Below are 20,103 nucleotides of genomic sequence, written 5' to 3'. Positions count from 1 at the left end.
AACAGACACTTCTGAAAAGAAGACGTTTATGCAGCCAAAAGACACATGAAAAAATGCTCATCATCACTGGCCATCAGAGAAATGCAAATCAAAACCACAATGAGATACCATCTCACACCAGTTAGAATGGCAATCATTAAAAAGTCAGGAAACAACAGGTGCTGGAGAGGATGTGGAGAAACAGGAACACTTTTACACTGTTGGTGGGACTGCAAACTAGTTCAACCATTGTGGAAGTCAGTGTGGCGATTCCTCAGGGATCTAGAACTAGAAATACCATTTGACCCAGCCATCCCATTACTGGGTATATACCCAAAGGATTATAAATCATGCTGCTATAAAGACACATGCACACATATGTTTACTGTGGCACTATTCACAATAGCAAAGACTTGGAACCAACTCAAATGTCCAACAATGATAGACTGGATTAAGAAAAAGTGGCACATATACACCATGGAATACTATGCAGCCATAAAAAATGATGAGTTCATGTCCTTTGTAGGAACATGGATAAAATTGGACATCATCATTCTCGGTAAACTATCGCAAGAACAAAAAACCACACACCGCATATTCTCACTCATAGGTGGGAACTGAACAATGAGAACACATGGACACAGGAAGGGGAACATCACACTCTGGGGACTGTTGTGGGGTGGGGGGAGGGGGGAGGGATAGCATTAGGAGATATACCTAATGCTAAATGACAAGTTAATGGGTGCAGCACACCAGCATGGCACATGTATACATATGTAACTAACCTGCACATTGTGCACATGTACCCTAAAACTCAAAGTATAATAATAATTAAGAAAAAAAAAGAAAATGTGGCACATATACACCATGGAATACTATGCAGCCAAAAGAAATGATGAGTTCATGTCCTTTGTAGGGACATGGATGAAGTTGGAAATCATCATTCTCAGCAAACTATCGCAAGGACAAAAAACCAAACACCACATGTTCTCACTCATAGGTGGGAACTGAACAATGAGAACACATGGACACAAGAAGGGGAACATCACACACCAGGGCCTGTCATGGGGTGGGGGGAGGGGCGAGGGATGGCATTAGGAGATATACCTAATGTTAAATGACGAGTTAGTTAATGGGTGCAGCACACCAACATGGCACATGTATACATATGTAACAAACCTGCACGTTGTGCACCATGTACCCTAAAACTTAAAGTATATATATATATAAAAAGAATATAAACCATAAAAAAAAAGTTCTTATATATCTTCTCTAAAATATTCCAGGTACATATATGTAAGCATCTGCTGCCTCACTTCACTCCCACATATGTTTTGTCTACTATTCTTGGTGTTTTTCACTTAGCAATATACCTTGAACTTCATTCCAAAAAGCTAATAATAATATACTTTTTTTGTTGTTTTAAATAGCTGTATCATACTCTTGAACTCTATTCCCCCTTTAATAGATGTTTAGATTGTTTCGACATTTTAGCTACTAGCAACAACTTTACAATAAACATCTTTGGACATTTACCTCTGTATATCTACAGGCTATTTGCCTGTAAGTGCATTTTTCAAATTAAATGGAATATGAAGTTAACATTTTGAAAAAAGGCTGCCAATATGCTCTCCAAAACTGTCAATGAGAGCTACTGTTTTCAGAAATGCAGTTGTAAGAAAATGTATATTTAGTTTATAACTTTGAAACATCAAATAACATTAAAAATCCTAAGAAATCATCTGACATTAACAACTCCATTAGCTATTTTTAATTATTTTCAGAACTAAAAATAGAGCACGAATTTTGAAGACAGACATAAATAAGTTCAAGTCCCAGATTTGGCACTTAGAACTTGCGTAATTTTTTTTTAAAGATACAGGGTCTTACTCTGTTGCTCAGGCTGGAGTGCAGTGGCATGATGATAGCTCACTACAGCCTTGACCTCCTGAGGTGAAGACATCCTCCTGCCTCAGCCTTCCAAGTAGCTGACTACACACGAATGCCACTATGCCAGGCTAATTTATTTATTTTAAAAATTATATTTATTTCTATATTAATTATTTTTAGAGATGGCGTCTTGCTATGTTGCTCATGCTGGTCTCGAACTCCTGGCTTCAAGTGATTTTCCCACCTCAGTTTTCTGCATAGCTGGGATTACAGGCATGAGCCACAGCACATGACCTGTGTGATCTTGAGCAGGCTATTTAATCATTTTCAGCCTTGATTTTTGTCTTTTCTTTGCAAAATGGGTAAAATAATAGTTCCTGCTAATAGGGTTATTATGAGGGTTAGTATACAAAGTGTTCTTTTCTTTGAATAGCCAAAAACAAAGCATGTGTTTGTTTAACTCATAATGTATGACCTAAATGATTGATTGATTAACAATAAAAGCATATATCTATCTACTTATATTTAAAAAAAAAAAAAAAACAGTGAATATTACAAATCCCCGTGAATGAACTGATTTTTATTTTCTCTGAGTCTTAATTCCTAAGAACATGAAATCTTCACCTGAACTCCTCATAATCATGAAGTGTTGATTTCTGGGCAGAGATTACTATGAAATGCAATTCATTCAGGCTCAAAGTACCTTCGTAAATTATAAAGTTGTAATTAAATTAATTTAATAATGACGACATAGGGGTTTAAGTTTATAAGACTGCAATGTTATCGTGTACTTCTCTACCTATGATAAAACCATTTCTAAGACAACATTTTAATAATGTTGGCTGGTGATTTATAAACCATATTAACTTGAGAATGGCTATAAAAAGCAAATATAAAACTTCAATGTTGCAGTTGATTTCAAGCATTCCTGTTAATTAATAGATTCTAAAAGTACCAAGATTTCCCAGAGGTATGATCACCTCAAATCTTCTCTCTATATAGGAAATTGAAACATGCTCAATTTGAGACATCAAAAAACATTTAAAATAGACACCACAAAATGTATCTGTAGTTTAAAGGTCCAATTTATTAGGAGATTAAGAGATGTATTTATTATACATGGACTATAAATACTGCACAGCTGACTTTATTCACAGTCAAGCAGAGATATAGTCAGTGCCAACCTATTTTGTGGATACTCTTGTTCTTTTGTTCCAAGAAAAGTTTGCACCATAAGACTTGGACTTGGGTTTTGGAACCTTCCTCTCTTCAATGTCATAGCTCCATCCTAGGAGGAAAAAACAAAGACAAATCCACAGAAACAGAATTAAAGAGGATACCTGAAAAGCACAGCAAGCAGAGGCTAGCTTTTATAACTTAACTTAATGTTCATTTATCATCAAGAGTATATGTCAACACATCTGAGATATACTTACTATTTGTTCCCTTATAATCAATCCTCTGTGAGAAAAGGGTCCAAAAGATTGCCTGCAGATTATTTACCATATCTCAAGTTGTTAAAGATGTAAACTATGATTCAATTTCACCTTGCTCAATTACTGATATCTATGTATTACATAAAAATTTCCATTACTCTATGTGGTTTAACATAGGCCTTTAAAATAGTTGCAATGAAGAGCGATGAACATTATAACCAACTCACTATTATTCTAAAAGTTGGTTTCTTTACAAGAGTTTGGAACTCTTCCAAAGGGATACAGAAAAATATGTAAACGTATATATATGTACGTGTGTATGGGTGCATGTGTGTACTATAGTTGAAGTGGACCATGAGAGGTTACTTGGTTCAATCCCCTGGACTTGGACAGGCTACTGATTAAACTCAAAAATTGATTTTCAACATTTATTTCAATGGCTATCTATCTGCACTAATTGGACTCAGATGGGAGTACCTGATAAAGAGCGCAAATTGTTAGGCCTGACCAAAGGCCCACTAGATCAGAATCTCTGGTGGGGGCCCAGGAAACTACACTTTATCAATTCCAGGAGATTTTTATGCATAAAAAAGTAAGGGCCGCTAATCAAAGGTGTCTGTCTATTCTCTTCTGAGTATTTATATTTTCCTTCCAAAGCCATTTCAGCATTTTGTAATTCTGAAAACTGGGTATATGTATGTCTACATTTTCTGCACTAGTCCTGTTCTTTAGTTCTCCTAAAACATGGGAAACAAATCAACATCCTCCTCCTTAAAAATATAATTAAGTCATTCTTTTATTCCCTAAGCTAGGCAACCCCTATAACATTCACTTTTCTTCATAAAATCCATTTTCCCACACCTGTAATTTATTCTTCTCTCAGGACTTTATTCAAATAACATCTTGAAACATCTAATTCATGGCTGTATCATGCAGTCATGTACAAAATGTCCCAAATGTGATTATTTATTATATAGTCTAATTAAGTGAGCCTCTTGATCTCGGTAAGTATAGTACTTTCTGCCACAAAGCTTACATTTCAATAGTCCCTTAGTTAGTATTCAGTTTTACCACAAAAGTTAAGCCTATGGAACTCAACTCATCAAAGTATACTACTACTACTGTACACAAAGGAAAGTAACAACATTTAACAGCGTATTTTAATTTAAACTTTTAATCTACTTTATCCATAAGAGAATATTACATTCCCAACTGCTGGAACTCCATCTCCAAAGAAAGTCCAATAACTATAAGGAAATGGGGAAGCAGGAAAGCAAATGAAACATCAGAATCCAGGAGAGAAAATATTAATTTACTTGTTCAACATAACCTTACTTTCACAGAGTAGAAAATATGTTTTGAGAACTTTCTTATCCATTAAAGTTACAAAGCTATAGCTTACTTTAAGAGAATGTGGACTTACAAAGTACGTACATTAACAAGTAGTTATCTCCATTTCAAAAAATTTACTAAAGGGCATAAGAAAACTTTGTCTTTCATAAGGTTGTCATGAGGATTAAAGTACATGTCTTGTACTTCATAAGGATGTGATAATTCATGTAAAGTGCTTAGAAAGCACCCTGACTTAACAATCATTTATTGAGTTCTATGAGAAAGAACTTTTCCTAAAACCTTTATATGAAGTAATATTATTCCCCTTGTACAGGTGAGTAAACTGAGGCTCAGAGAGGTTAGGTAACTAGCATAAGGTCACTCAGCAAAGAAGGGGCAGAATCAGGATTTAAACACAGACGGCCAGATTCTGGAGGCTACAACTTACCTATTATGCTACATTGTCTCTTGTGGTTTATAGTAGGCACTCAATAAATGTTAAGTATTATTTGGTCCTCAAATTTGATTCACAACTTCATAGCAACATGTCTCTATATAAATTTCCATTACATTAGAGCCCATTAAATTTGAATTTGTGTTGTTTCGGGTATAGCTAGCTATAATCTAACCTAGGAGAAAACACTTTAGATGGGGTATACAGGGGAGACCTCCCTCCCTGAGAAGTAGGCAGAGAACAGTAACTGCAAAGGCCCTGAGACAAGAGCATTCCTGGTGTACTAGGTAGTATGTTCTAGTCCCCATGCTGAGTGCTTGAAATGTATTTTTTTATTATTATTATACTAAGTTTTAGGGTACATGTGCACAATGTGCAGGTTAGTTACATATGTATACATGTGCCATGCTGGTGTGCTGCGCCCATTAACTCATCATTTAGTATTAGGTATATCTCCTAAAGCTATCCCTCCCCGCTCCCCCCACCCCACAACAGTCCCCAGAATGTGATGTTCCCCTTCCTGTGTCCATGTGTTCTCATTGTTCAATTCCCACCTATGAGTGAGAACATGTGGTGTTTGGTTTTTTGTCCTTGCGATAGTTTACTGAGAATGATGATTTCCAATTTCATCCATGTCCCTACAAAGCACATGAACTCAACATCATTTTTTATGGCTACATAGTATTCCATGGTGTATATGTGCCACTTTTTCTTAATCCAGTCTATCATTGTTGGACATCTGGATTGGTTCCAAGTCTTTGCTATTGTGAATAGTGCCGCAGTAAACATACGTGTGCATGTGTCTTTATAGCAGCATGATTTATAGTCCTTTGGGTATATACCCAGTAATGGGATGGCTGGGTCAAATGGTATTTCTAGTTCTAGATCCCTGAGGAATCGCCACACTGAAATGTATTTTTATTGAAATTTTATGTACAGAGTTTATAGGTTGCATGGCTATAAGGAAGGCATTATAATATATATCTTAATTTTACATTACCTTAAAGGAAAAAATATCGAGAAAATAAACAGCCTAAGGTCACAGGGCTAATAAGTTGCAAAACCAGGATTTTAACCAAGATGGACGTTAACACCTAAGTACTTTATTAATAAAACTGCATTTCTTTAAAAATATCCCGCAATTGCAAGTTTTATCTATTTCATTCATTTCCTTTTATTTGAAAAAATATGTTGAAAAGACTTTTAAGAATCCTGTAAAATAAATATATGTTCCCCATGTGCTCTCCCACAATTGTGAGGAAGGAAATGGTTTCTAGTGTAGATTCTGTATGTGGTTATAATGATAGCTGGAAAATTAACCCAAGACCTCCATATTCTTTTCTTGCCAAATGATAGGTAAGAAACCTAAGTTCTCTCTCCTCTTATTACCTCCCAACACACACTCTCCAGGTCAATAAAGACATTAGGAAAGAAACTGCAGAAGAAATGAGAAAGCACTCAAATATCTAGGAAATAGTAATATACACACAAACACAAACCTGATAATCACTCTCTCATTCACTCAATTACCCTTTCAGCCGCCAGGTAGAATTCTCTGTACTACATCAGATCTCAGACACAGTTCTAATATCTATTCTGGTTATGGAGTTCCAAAATGTGGTCAGGGTCACTGCAATGTGAGAAGAATGAAGTTTTATACATATAAAAGAAAAGAACAACTGGTTTGGGTTTTCCCCTGGTAACTAAGGAGTGAGCTGGCTCCTGGGAATTGTGAGCCAGATTACAGTTGCTGTTGATGGTGATAACAACATAAATAGAAGTATCATGACAGAGATTGGAATGTGGATGGGCAAAGCACCCTGTGAAAAACAAACAAAAATACACAGAGAAGAAGCATGCATTTTCTAATAGGATCCATCTCTATATAATTACCACTGACCACTCATGATTGTTAGGATGTGTAGGGAAAAAAAATTTATTATCTTCCCGTTTTTCTGTGGCAAACAACTTTGTTTCCAAAGTTGCACATGCAACTGTGCTTCTCTAAACGCAAAGGAGCATATGAGGAAGTCCAATGACAATTCACAATAGAGACTAAAACTAAAGTAAGAATCCACATACATCTCTCTTTGGATTTTCTATTCATTATTCAGAAAACTTTTCTGCTATGTAGGGCTGTCATCATAATAAAAATTTGCTGTTTTTTGAGGTACTGTTAAGAATCTGATCACATTTCCAAGCATCCTCCTCCAAGGTGTTTGTTACAGTACCTGGATGAACAAATTTACTGGTCCCACTATACTCGAATGTAAAGGTTACTTGAGCAAACAGGGAAGCTGAGCTAAAAAGATAAAACTCTAAGAATAACAACACTTGAAAGGACATTAAGCATGTATGCTTAAGAATGGGTAAGTTAGACGAATTATACTCATCTTTTCTACTTCCTATTTGAAACTTGTTGCTAAAAAGGATGTATTTTGCAAGAAATAAAATGTAGATATTAAATGTTTAAATTTCTATAAGAATGTCTTTCTTTAACCCTAAAATAATTTTTTTTAAAAGAAAGAGCCCAAACTTATTTTTCTGAATGGGAATATGGAAGTGAAAATACTTGCACTCTCTGAAGAATGCTTATATAAAATGAAGGTATAGTCTACAATCATAATGGTCCCATATGTTGTCCTATTAGGGTACTGAAAACCAGCCCCTTGCTCTTCTCAGCTGTGCGACAGAAGAAGATCAAAGCAATGGAGTCCAAGACAGCTGCCCTAGGGATAGGTAAAGCTCCCAGTGCTGCCGTCACTTTCTAGAGGAGAGTAGCCATATGGCACAGATTTGCCACAAACCCAACTACCAGCACCTAAATGATGAGAAGCTGACTCCCTTTGCTGTTTCACACACTGAAACGCTTTCACAAAATAGTCTGAACTTTAAGCCCTAGTATCAGAGAAGTACCTTTGGAAAATGCTGTAGTAAACTTAAAATGTGATCTTTAACATCCCATGCCCAATTTCTTTTTCTGAAATATGACAGTTTATTTTGTAGATCTCCACATTGTGAGTGGAATATTCTATTTCCTATGATATAAATGATATACTTTTCAAATGCCAAAAAACCCCAACCTCTGAACAAAACCAGGCCACAATTAACTTATGAATTCCATATATAAGACAGAAAAATAAAATCAACTTCATTCATTTTTATACAGAATCATTTCATTTATGGTTCAGTAATACAAAAATACAAACATCCATCAGTTCTTTTATTGCTTGTGAAATATTTTATCTCAAGTAACCTTGATTGACGTTCTGTGAAAGGTCTGTCTTCTCTAATAACCTAATCTCAAACCCTGACATGAGTTTGGAAGTGAACAGCTAAATGATTTTTCCTACTCTCCATTTGTACACAGAACAAGAACTACCACATAATTTGGCACAAACTGACGTAACTGACAGTCACTTCCAACTGAAGCATGGGATCAGAAGAGCAAAGCTTTGGGAGGCCAAAGCAAGGTATACTGGTACTTGGAAGGTTTCAAGATTCTTCACCAGGCTATGTACCCATATTATATCTGGCTGAAAGCGGAGCATAACCCTAACATATAATTTTAAGAAGGAGAAAAGAAAAATAGCTTTTTAGGAATTTCACTTTAAAAGTCTCTTTACTTTGAAATTACCAATTAGGTACATAATATGGGGGTGGGGTACAGTAGGGGGTAAATGGTTCAGAATAATGTAAAAGTATCCTAGATCTTCTATAGAAAATACTATGGAGAAATAACAGAGGTTTCGGATACACTGGCAAAGCAAGTCTTTCCATGAAATTTATATAAAGTGATTTAAACAAGCAAATAAGGTGAAAACATGAGGCACCTGAAATATTTGTTAGATTAGTAATACTCTACACCTGCTGTAGAGTATTGCCACCTCTCAAACCCCAAATTACTGCTTTGATGTGACAGTCAACGGCCCCTTGAAATTTTATCTTTTCAAATAATATACTTGCTATGTAATATTTCTATTATTTTCAAAGCAGTAGTTGGAACTATTCAGCATTTGCCACAAAACAAACCAAGGTAGTAATCCATTACTCCAGCTTTTGTGTTCCAAAAGTATATCTGAAAATCAGCCATTAGAAATTTAGAACACATTTTTCTGGAGAAAAAAACTACACAAATAGCCAAAAACCACTTCCAGAGATTTGCAAGCTACTCATAGGGAGTCTCAGAATCCTATTTAACCTATAATATACCAGGAACGTCAGTAAGCCACCATATATAATTCTCTCTCGTGCTCGCGCCTTAGCAGTACTTCCCTAGCTACAGACAGGATCCAGGATTAAACATTGGGAGGAAAAAGCTATCTATGAAAAAAAAAATCTTTCATGAATTCACGTAAAGTTTATTTGTGACTCCTAAATCAATGCCCATGGTGCTTCTGTGGTCATTTGTGACATGTGGAGAATGTCAAAAAATTTGAGTCCCGTAACATACATTTCTAAATGAGGTGAAGCAGGATAATGCTCTGCCTTCTTGTTTTAGCTCTCATACTGTAAACAAGCATACTTTTTGTGCTCTATTTAGTGCCAGTATTTTGCATTTCTGTGCTGCTTTTTGGTAATTTCACTGTTTAAAATGGTCCCCAAACACTGCTGAAATGTTATCTAGTGTTCCAAGAAAGCTGTGATGTGCCAATATGTGTTTCAGATACGCTTTGTTTAGGCATGAGTTATAGTGCTGTTGGCTGTGAGTTCAATGTTGATGAATTAACTGTATTAAATAAGGTGTCTTTAAACAAAAACACATATAAAACAAGGTTATGTACTGGTCAGACGACAAACTATGTGACCAGAGGCCTGCAGGAACCTAACCATGTATATCCCGAGGGATAAGAATTCTTGCTAATTTAGTGTTTCATAGTGACTTTAAAGAACATAACTGTGAATAAGGAGAACAACTATAATTGAGAGATACATAAAGTCTGTCCTCTCTCATAGATTTGACTCCCCTCTCAACCCAGTCCTGGAAAAATCAGTTTTGTCTCAATTAGCAACTCATCTCAACATTTCTTTACCCTACATAAATCTGTGCTGTTTGACTTGTCCTTTGAACTGGTTATAACATTTGCCTGGCTCCCTTATATCAGATGAGTAAAATCCTTCAATACATGTTTATTGTATATCTATGCTAGAGTCAATGTATCTTTTTCTGGAAAATTTCTTTTAACCATTTTGGAGGTCCCCTTGAGACATCCTATAGATTTATCAACCAAAGGCAGGCAAACTTCATCATCGAAGAAATGGTGTACCTTATGCTTAAGCCTGCATACCTCTTTTCTTGGCTCTAAAAGGTGAATCCAAAGCAGTAAGAGAACTCTGCTGACTCTGACTCTGGTCTTTTGCTCTCTACTAATCTGGGGAATTGGTTTTGCAATCTGACCATCTGATGATCCCTGTAAATGGATTAATGGTTTATAGAGGTCTATTCTCTATTGGGTGAGAAAAAATGGAGAATCTAGTTTGTTAATCTATTTTGGACTCAAATCAATTAATAATTTGTCCTCAGAAAAGAACAGCTCTTTGGTATTTCATCATTTTGTATTATTAATTCATGGCTGAAAGTTTAGAACTGAAGTTATAAACTCTGTGTGACTGTATGTCTATCAATGTCTGTATAGAGAAAAGCCTTATTGTGCGTGTAGATAAGGCTTTTCTACCTTCAGGTGGCACTGATTAGATTATAAAGTCTTTTTAGGGAACTCTGGGCCTGGCGTGGTGGCTCACGCCTGTAATCCCAGCACTTTGGGAGGCCAAGGCGGGCGGATCACGAGGTCAGGAAATCGAGAACATCCTGGCTAACAAGGTGAAACCCCGTCTCTACTAAAAATACAAAAAATTAGCTGGGCGTGGTGGCGGGCGCCTGTAGTCCCAGCTCCTCGGGAGGCTGAGGCTGGAGAATGGCATGAACCCGGGAGGCAGAGCTTGCAGTGAGCTGAGATTGCAGCCACTGCACTTCAGCCTGGGTGACAGAGTGAGACTCCGCCTCAAAAAAAAAAAAAAAAAAAAAAGGAACTCTGTTCTGATTAGCTTATAGAGAAAAGTAAGTGATTATGTAAATTGAGTAATCTTAAAATTTTCAGAGAAGAAAATGGAACTTCTAATCTTTTCAGTGTGCTAGAAATTATTTTAAGCTACAAGTACTTTTTAAGAGTACTTAAAAAGTACTCTAAGAGCAACTAACAAACATTTTGAGACTTCAAGTTCATATCGTGTAGGTAAATCTTGACAAACAAGACTAATAATTTTGGTTTAATAAAACAGCAAGGTTTTCTCTGGTTTATCAATGTCAAATATATAAACAGACTTTTATTCCACTTGCGTATTTTTTTAATTATACATGTTTACTGATCAAATAAGCCAAAATTACTTGTTTAATGTTTAGTCAAGAAAAAATGTAAACTTACAATTAACCAAATTGATTCATTATTGACAATTTTATTTCAACAATAATTATGTTTTGTAATATGTCACCTTCAAAATTAATTTCCAAGATTGTCAGGTAATTAATAGATATTTATTAGATATCCAGATCTCTTATTTTTTTAATTATTTTTTAAGGCTAGTGGAGTCAAGCTGTGGGAGTGGAAAAGGAATAATGATATCTGTAACCGGTTGTGATCAATTAGTTGTGAACCCTAGATCTCTTCTAAGTAAGACAGAATACTAATCCATTGATAATGATAGGGTTCAGGACATGCTACCCTAAAATAATGGCACCTTGGCATTTGAAGAAACAGAGAAGGAAGGCCACTCTGACCTCCTCCCACCCTTGTACCTTGAAGTAGACCATAAAATAATTCTCTGGCCTTCCCGTGGAAGAAGTCATAAGACACTCATGTGCCCTATCACCCAGAGGCAAGGAATATCACAGAGGGATGGACTTAAGAGAAGAATCTGAACAAACAGGCCTAGCTAAGTTCTCTCTAGCTTATTACTATTGGATCATACCTTCTTTATCCAGTCATATTTCCACACACAATATACTTTTTCTTCAAATTTAGCATAAAATACACAAGTATTCCTGTTTCTTTGGGTTTTCATTTCTAAAGCGTCCTGTATCACATAAAACTTACATTAAATAAATATGTGCTTTTCTATTTTTAACTGTCTTTTATTATAGGAGACGAACCTATGTGATGGGTGAGAAAAGACATCTTTTCTCCACTATAATTACTAGGCAAAATTTTAAATTTATAAACTCTTGCTACTTATTTTCATATGCTACAGAGAGGCTGTATCTCTGAGTTGGTTAATGAACATGTTCATTTTTGCCACCTGGAGAAGTTGGAGTATAAGGAATGCATATAGCTATAGAAAGTTATGTGTATTTATGAGATCTGCTAGTCTACTAAAATGCTGACGTGTAACCATTTTCAATTCTCCATCTCCCAGTTTCTCTATGGAATCAGTCACTTTGGTTAAAAGATACACATAAATGAAACTGGAATAGGAGAAATGGTGGCAGAGAGGTAAAACTTTGCAATGCAAGGTTATGAGATGTGTTTTTGTTTATTAAAGGAAAAAGAATAGTTATGTCCTCAAGTAAAGTGACTGATTGTGCCAGAAAGAGAAAGAGAATGTCTTATCATTGTAAGAGCTAAGGTTCTTTCTTTACCATCATATTACCTTCTATATTTAAGTTTTACTGTGACTTTGCAATGAGTGGCCACATATCATTTCTCAGGTACCTATGATTCTATATCTAACTGTTCACATCTCCGGACAACTTTTGATATTTACCTTCCCAAAACTGAATCCTAAATGTAAAATAAAACTTTCAGGATATCATTGCACCTAGAATTATCTCTGAGATTCCCTAGAGGGCCTCTGGAAAATCACAAAGATACATTCTTTCATTTTGTGAAAAGAGAGGTGCTAAAAAATAATTAGGTTTATTTTATATGCTATTATTAACAAGCTACTTGAGAACAGTTGTCAACTATGAGAAAAGTTGTCAATGCAGAAAAGATGTTTAGCCATCCCAAGGTTAAATTTCATGGGTAAAGTGTTATTAACCAAAATTGTATGCTATATGGTAAGTTCCTGGGGAATTATCAATGCCTTCACTGCTCAAGATGTGTTCTATTTACCTGAGTCCTTGTACTGCTTTGCCCAGCAAATAATTACAGTATAGTTTATCAGTCATAATTTGTTATTTTTAAAAATATTAACTTGGTTGCATCTTTACTTCTGTAGTTTAAATCTTGCATCTTCTAGGCCAGTAAATGTCAACTGGAAATCAATGTCACTTATCTGAGTTTTATTAATATACCGATATTTAGGCCATACTCCAGACTTACTGAATCTTTTTACTAGATTTTAAATCTAGTGGCAAGTTCTTGGTGTGGTTTCCTAGCTCAAGAGACTTCAAAGTCCAATCAGAGATTCCTTGTAAAAACTTTCACCAAAGCATACAAGAAAGCATATATGACAAATTAACACTCTTGCTACACCTATGTAAATAAGGCTAAATATCATACCAATGTTATTTTGTGATCACAAATAATCTCTTGCTGAGATTATTTCCTAATCAAAATGGAGAAGGAATAGAAAAAAAAAACCTTTGTTTCAATGGAAAACTGTGCATTGTCTCTGGCACACCCTTCCCCTTCTAGATTATCAGATTTTAGATCAGTTCCTTATCTTTTAGCTACTTGGCAACTCTTTTTAGGTTGTACACAATTGATACACATGTAATTTCTGTCCTGTGTTCTACTTAATAGACCTCCCCCACCAAAACCCAATTTTGCCTCTATTTGCAATTCACTACGTTTTTTTATTTCACATGAATTAGTGCTGTTTTGACTTTTACTCTGAACTGGTTGTAACACCTGCCTTGTTCCCTTATATGAGTAAAATAAATTTTTACTTGCAATTTATACCTATATGAAAGTCATGATTCTTGCCTTTGTTTTGAAAGTTTTTTTTTTTGTTTTGTTTTTTTAAAAGATATATGGATGTGAGGTTGAGACCCTCATAAGAGGTTACGTTAGGTGGAAGCCCAGACCTTACTGATGTTGTTCACTTCTGGGATAATTCTAAGTACTAAGCTACATCTCCAATTATTTCTTTCTTTATTTTCCTGGATCCAGGGCCAGACCTGTTTCCTTCCGTGCTTCTACCTTCTATTACTTCAGAGGCGGGTTTTCCACCCCAATAGACCCACTATGAAGAATGCAGTTTCACAGCTTGTCCTCAGCCCTCCTATTCCTGAAAGAAACCTTCCTTTATTTTGAGAATTTCAAAGAGTTTTTATAGCTAACAACAATGAGAAAAACACAGGGGGTAAAATGACATACTAGACAAAAGTCACAAACTTTCAAATCAGATCAAACGGGGGAAAAAAGACCATTTCTGGTTTTCATTAGCATGTAAATGGTAGTAGATTCTAGTCTTCCACCATCCAAATTTTCCACAGCTGTCTTCTACCTCCTCTCTCCATGATGTAGCTTCCTCCACCCCCCATCCTTCTACCCCATCACTTATTACATAACACAAGGAAAGACAAAAGCCACATGGGTGAGAAGGGTGGGTCTTTTTAGTACACAAAGAACTGAAGTGAGGTTCATCTACATTTCAGAGGAAACCCCAGATGATATTCGTCTCTTTACAAAGAAACGTTATCATTAAAGAGTTCCTTTGGAATAGATGCTGAGCTTAAGATGTTTAGGATGAGGCCCTAAGTTTAAGGCTAAAAGAATCAGGGGTATTTATATTTTCTTTGTGTGTCAGTATGTTTGGGGACATGGTAGTGGGAACAGGGAGAAAATGAAGTCATAGGGAGCATTCAGTCTTTTCTTCTTTTCCACTCCCCAATTTCAGAACACCAGCCTTCCATAAGAAGTGAGGTAAAGAAGAGAGAGCTATGCAAAAAAGATATAAGCTGAGGGGACAGCTGCAGAAATTATCAATAGCAGGAGAAAGAGAACTTCTTTTCATCTCAAAAACAAGAGTAGAGTATTCTTATATAAAAAGATGAGCCTGCATAATACCTTATTTGGTTAACAACTGAAAACAGATGATTAATGGGGGAACTTGTGTACTTATAGAGATACTATAGGTATATAGTACGTCCCTATACTATTATCCCTCCCTATTATCTCTACTATAAAGATACTACAGAAACTTATAGCATCTCTAGAGTATACTATATGGAGTATATATATTATCTCTCTATATAGAGATACTATATAGATAGTAGAGTATAAATAATATATAGTCTAGAGATACTCTATAGTCTATTCCATATATCTATATAGTAAAGAGATACTATAGTATCTCTATACTATACTCTAGAGGTACTATAGGGACACTATAGTATCTCTGTAGAGACCTACAGTATCTCTTTATTATTTTATAAGTAACATAAGAGTTTCTACATATCCTTAATTCATTCTAGGTAAGAGTACCTGAAGAATAGAACTGTATTTCTTAATAAGTATTATATTTGAACTTTTCCAAGTTGGATATGAGTTTCCTGTTTCTCATATTTACTATAGGAATTATTTAATGAACTATTTACATAGAATATATATATATATATAATGTATACCCTGTATATTGCCAAATATATCAGTGCTGTTCAGTAGAAATATGTGAGCCATACATAAGTTTCTAGTAGCCACATTAAATAAAAGGAAATATGTAAAATTAATTTTTATAATATTTTACTTCGTCCAGTGTTTCTAGGTTATCACTTCATGTAATAAAAATTGAGATACTTTTTTTTTTCATACTAAGTCTTTGAAATTCAGTGTGCATTTTACACTTACGGCACATCTAAATTCGAATTAAACACATATCAAGAGCTAAAATCACATGTGGCCAGTGGCTACCATATTGGATAGTGTAGATCTAGATTATTATTTTTTAAGATCTACTAGCATCATAGTACCAGGAAAACCATTGGACTTGGAATCTAGAAGGTTAGGTGCTGTCAGGAGCAATGTGATTGATCTGGGGCTTGTTTTCTTAACTTCTCTAGGTCTCGGTATCCTATCAGAGGGAGAGTTTAGAATAAATAACATGCAGTTTGGAAGCAATTCAAACATTATGAAATAATCATTTTGTTTCAATACACTTCAGGATGCTAATCCTTAATAAACTCAGGATAAACTCCAAATTAACTTGACAGGAAAACATTCATTAGTTTTATTTTACAAACACACTAAAATATAAGAAATTGTTAATCATCCTACTATAGCTTTCTTTCTTCAGGTTTCTAATTACAGGGAATTAACAGATCAACAGTTCTTCTAAAAAAAGAACAAGTCACCAAATTAAGGTGATTTAAAGAAAAGTTTAAAGCATAATCTGGAGAATCATTTACAACGTTACTAAATTTGCTGCTAAATTCACCAATATTTACTGAGCACATTAAAAGATAAATAGGACTTGTCTTCCCTGGTAAATTCTTATAATCCAATAGGCAGGATAAAATATTACAGTTTGAGTGTAAGAACTATGCCTTATTTATCCCCAGAGCCTAGCCATACAGCGCTGACATACAATAGGGTGTGTTCAACATGCTTCTGACTGAGTGCAGTACAAAAAAGGTAAAAGAGAAAACCATACTATAAGAGCTGCAAGAAAGGAACAAATTATTGTGAAAGTTAAAAGGAAGAAAGAGGAGTTCATCCAGTAGTAGATGGGAGGTGCAAGTGAAGGAGGGGAATAAGAAAAGGGATGAAGAAATGAGACAGCATATGAAATGAAGACTAGGTTAGAGTTTCATAGGCAGGGATAAGAATGAGAACAGTATTAACGAGGTTGTAGAGGGAGGAAGGTGTAGTAGGTTTGGAATGTAAGGGCAGAAAGTAAGAGTTGGAACACAGACAAAACTTGTTAGTGCTTTGGTAGTAAGTTTGTGCCTATATTGTGAAGAACTTTGAATTATCAGTTGAGGAATTTGTCTATTAAACACAGACTCTTGAAGATGTTTGAATAAAGGGTATTTTGGGACTTACACAAATGTCATAGTATTGAGGCAGTATACGTAACAGTTTAGACTAGAGGTCACCTAAAATTTTCTGTAAAGGGCCAAGTAGTAATTATTTTTAGGCTCTGGGGCCATATAGTCTCTATTACAACTACTTTTCTACCACTGTAGCCAAAAAGCAGTCATAGACTATATATAAATGAATAAACATGACTGTTCAAATAAAACTTGTTCACCTCCTTGTATGTGTCCCTGTTACTTAATGTGACATAATGTCTCTAAACCTCAGTTGCCTTGAACAATTAAATGGAGATAACTGTTCCTGCTTCACAGAGTTACTAAATGAGAATGAAAAGCACTTAGCATAGTGCCTGGCTCATGATTTAGTGTTTGTTACTTTCTGTGGTGACAATACTTATTACCCAAGTCTCAAAATATAATTAGAGGGCATTAAATATGTTTTGTAAGGCTGGGTGCAGTGGCTTACACCTGTAATTGCAGCACTTTGGGAGGCCAAGGCAGGTGGATCACCTGAGGTCAGGAGTTCGAGGCCAGCCTGGCCAACATGGTAAAACCCTGTCTCTACTTTAAAAAAAAAAAAAAAAAAAAAATTAGCTGGACATGGTGGTGCATGCCTGTAGTCCAGGAAGCTGAGGCAGGAGAATCGCTTGAACCTGGGAGGTGGAGGTTGCAGTGAGCCAAGATCATGCCATTGCACTCCAGCCTGGGTGACAGAGTGAGACTCTGTCTCCAGCCCCGAACCCCTCCAAAAAAAAGGTTTTCCAGAAAGCAACTGAATCTGAAAATCTTACTCCCCTTGATGTATTGATTTTCTACAATCTTTAGTGTCAAGGGAAACCATGCTCATGACTTCTCTTTTTATTTGACATTTAAAAGGGAAATGAAAAAACTAAGGAGATAACAGGTAGGCTTTTATCTTCAGAATAGTCCCTGAATTGATATACAAATAATCAACTGTATCTCAAATACAATTGATAACAAATTGTATTTGATAATTGATATACAAATCAAATAACTGTCAAAAGCTAATATACTTTTAGGCTGCATTAATATAAAATACAATTTGATAAGTGATACATAAATCATCTTTTGTGTAGGTATGTGGCAGTTTTACCCTAACTTCCTATTTCTAGATACTACTGAAAGGCAAGCATTAATGCCCATAAACGTATAACCTTTGTCATATTTTACTATTAACACAGAATCAGCTGTATTAACAAAAACTCATTTCCCCCTATACAGCATATGAGTAAGGCACTGGGCTAGATAGCAAAGAAATAAAGACGAACTAGCCCATGGGCTTTAACATCCTTAAGTCTATAGTTTTTGGACATCACCCAATCCAACTTCTCATTTCAAAGATGAAGAAATATGCTTCTAAAAGGCTAAGTGTAGTGAAGCATGACTTGTTCAAGTTCTCCTGTGATGTAGACCACTGTGGAATGAGAGTCTTAGTTACCAGCCTCTTAATCCAGTAGTCTTTACATATTAGTGCATCTGAACCTTTTTTTTTTAAATGCCTTAACTTATCAGAACATCGGTTCACTCAACCTTCAATAGCACTAGCTGACAACAAATGATTTTAGTTGTGGGGATAGGGAGGATCCATTTGCATGTCCTTCACTACTATTTACCTACCCAAGAGGGGCAAGTCAGAAGGAAGAGGATGCTGTGGAATTTGGAAAAGATCCCCCACCTCCACCTTTTTTTTTTTTTTTTTGGAGACAGAGTTTTTGCTCTTATTGCCCAGGCTGGAGCTTGTTGCCCAGGCTGGAGTGCAATGGCACGATCTCAGCTCACTGCAACCTCTGCCTCCCGGGTTCAAGCGATTCTCCTGCCTCAGCCTCCTGAGTAGCTGGGATTACAGGCATGTGCCACCATGCCCGGCTAATTTTGTATTTTTAGTAGAGACGAGGGTTCTCCATGTTGGTCAGGCTGATCTCAAACTCCTGACCTCAGGTGATCCGCCCACCTCAGCCTCCCAAAGTGCTGGGATTACAGGCGTGAGCCACCGCGCCTGGCCTCCCCACCTCCACTTCTGTAATGCTTCAATGGTGTTTATTTAGATCTTCCTTCCACTGTAGCTGAAGAAACAGGATTTATCTATTTAAGGACATAGAATGCTACATGTTAAATAAATAAGGCAGATCATAAGTACTATACCGAAATCAAGAGTGGAATAATCATTAAGGACTTTCCCAGGAGAGGAGAATGGTTTCAAATTCTTGAGTAAAGAAATATGTTTCTTTCTATTTATTTATTTATTATTTTTTGAGACTGAGTCTCACCCTGTCACCCAGGCTGGAGTGTAGTGGTATGATCTCAGCTCACTGCAACCTCCACCTTGTGAGTTCAAGCGATTCTCCTGTCTCAGCCTCTTGAGTAGCCAGGACTACAGGTGCGCACCACCACATCCAGCTAATTTGTGTATTTTTAGTAGAACCAGGGTTTTGCTGTTGGCCAGGCTGGTCTCCAACTCCTGACCTCAAGTGATCCACCCACCTCAACCTCCCAAAGCACTGGGATTACAGGCATGAGCCACTGTGCCCAGTCAGAGAAATATATTTTAGAAAGTCATTTATTCCACCAGATACTGAGTGTCCATTATATGTCAGGTTTTGTGCTAGGTGCTAGGTGCTAGGCACATAGCAGTGACCAAGATAGGACATAGTTCTGCTATCTTAAAGGTTAAAATTCCTGATTCACTGTTAGCCTACAACTTTATGTCACTAACCACAAGGCTTTTTAAAGTTACACTTTCTATAGACTTTGATAGTGTTCCTCAGTTTTCTTTCCCGGGGAGGTAGAAGTCAGATAGAAAGGCACTTGATTTTAATAGGAACAGTGGTGAGCTCACACTGGCAATTCACATGGCAACTGTAGTCATGCAGTCCTTGTGACCACTTAGAGAAAGACTAACCAGGGATTTAAATATTTAATTAGATTTCCTGTTATTAAACTCATGTGACAGACTTCAAATGAATAATTTTCAAAGTGTCAGACATGAAATATAATAGGCTGAAAAGATAAAAAAA

General features: G+C 36.0%; 1 protein-coding gene across 5 annotated transcripts in view, besides 1 other annotated feature; it reads right to left on the bottom strand.

Annotated features, from left to right (window-relative positions):
• The window catches only part of NDUFS4 (NADH:ubiquinone oxidoreductase subunit S4), a 122,700-nt gene continuing 105,533 nt past the window's right edge, over positions 2,937-20,103 (bottom strand). For all 5 annotated transcript variants that reach the window (NR_134475.2, NR_134473.2, NR_134474.2 and 2 more), the window contains one exon: positions 2,937-3,157. Coding sequence is in view for 2 of the 5 variants with exons in the window: in NM_002495.4 (NP_002486.1) it covers positions 3,054-3,157 (104 nt within the window). In the remaining 3 variants the exon portion in view is untranslated. The remainder of the gene's footprint in view (positions 3,158-20,103) is intronic.
• Positions 14,144-15,128: an enhancer, noted in NCBI's record as "OCT4-NANOG hESC enhancer chr5:52966977-52967961 (GRCh37/hg19 assembly coordinates)". NCBI's record gives its function as "activates a minimal SCP1, AML or CMV promoter by ChIP-STARR-seq in naive and primed H9 embryonic stem cells {active_cell/tissue: H9 hESC(naive and primed)}" and the evidence as "EXISTENCE:reporter gene assay evidence [ECO:0000049][PMID:30033119]".

The sequence above is a fragment of the Homo sapiens genome, chromosome 5 (assembly GCF_000001405.40).
Source record: "Homo sapiens chromosome 5, GRCh38.p14 Primary Assembly".
NCBI classification, from domain to species: domain Eukaryota; kingdom Metazoa; phylum Chordata; class Mammalia; order Primates; family Hominidae; genus Homo; species Homo sapiens.
This window is presented reverse-complemented; position numbering and strand designations above follow the sequence as displayed.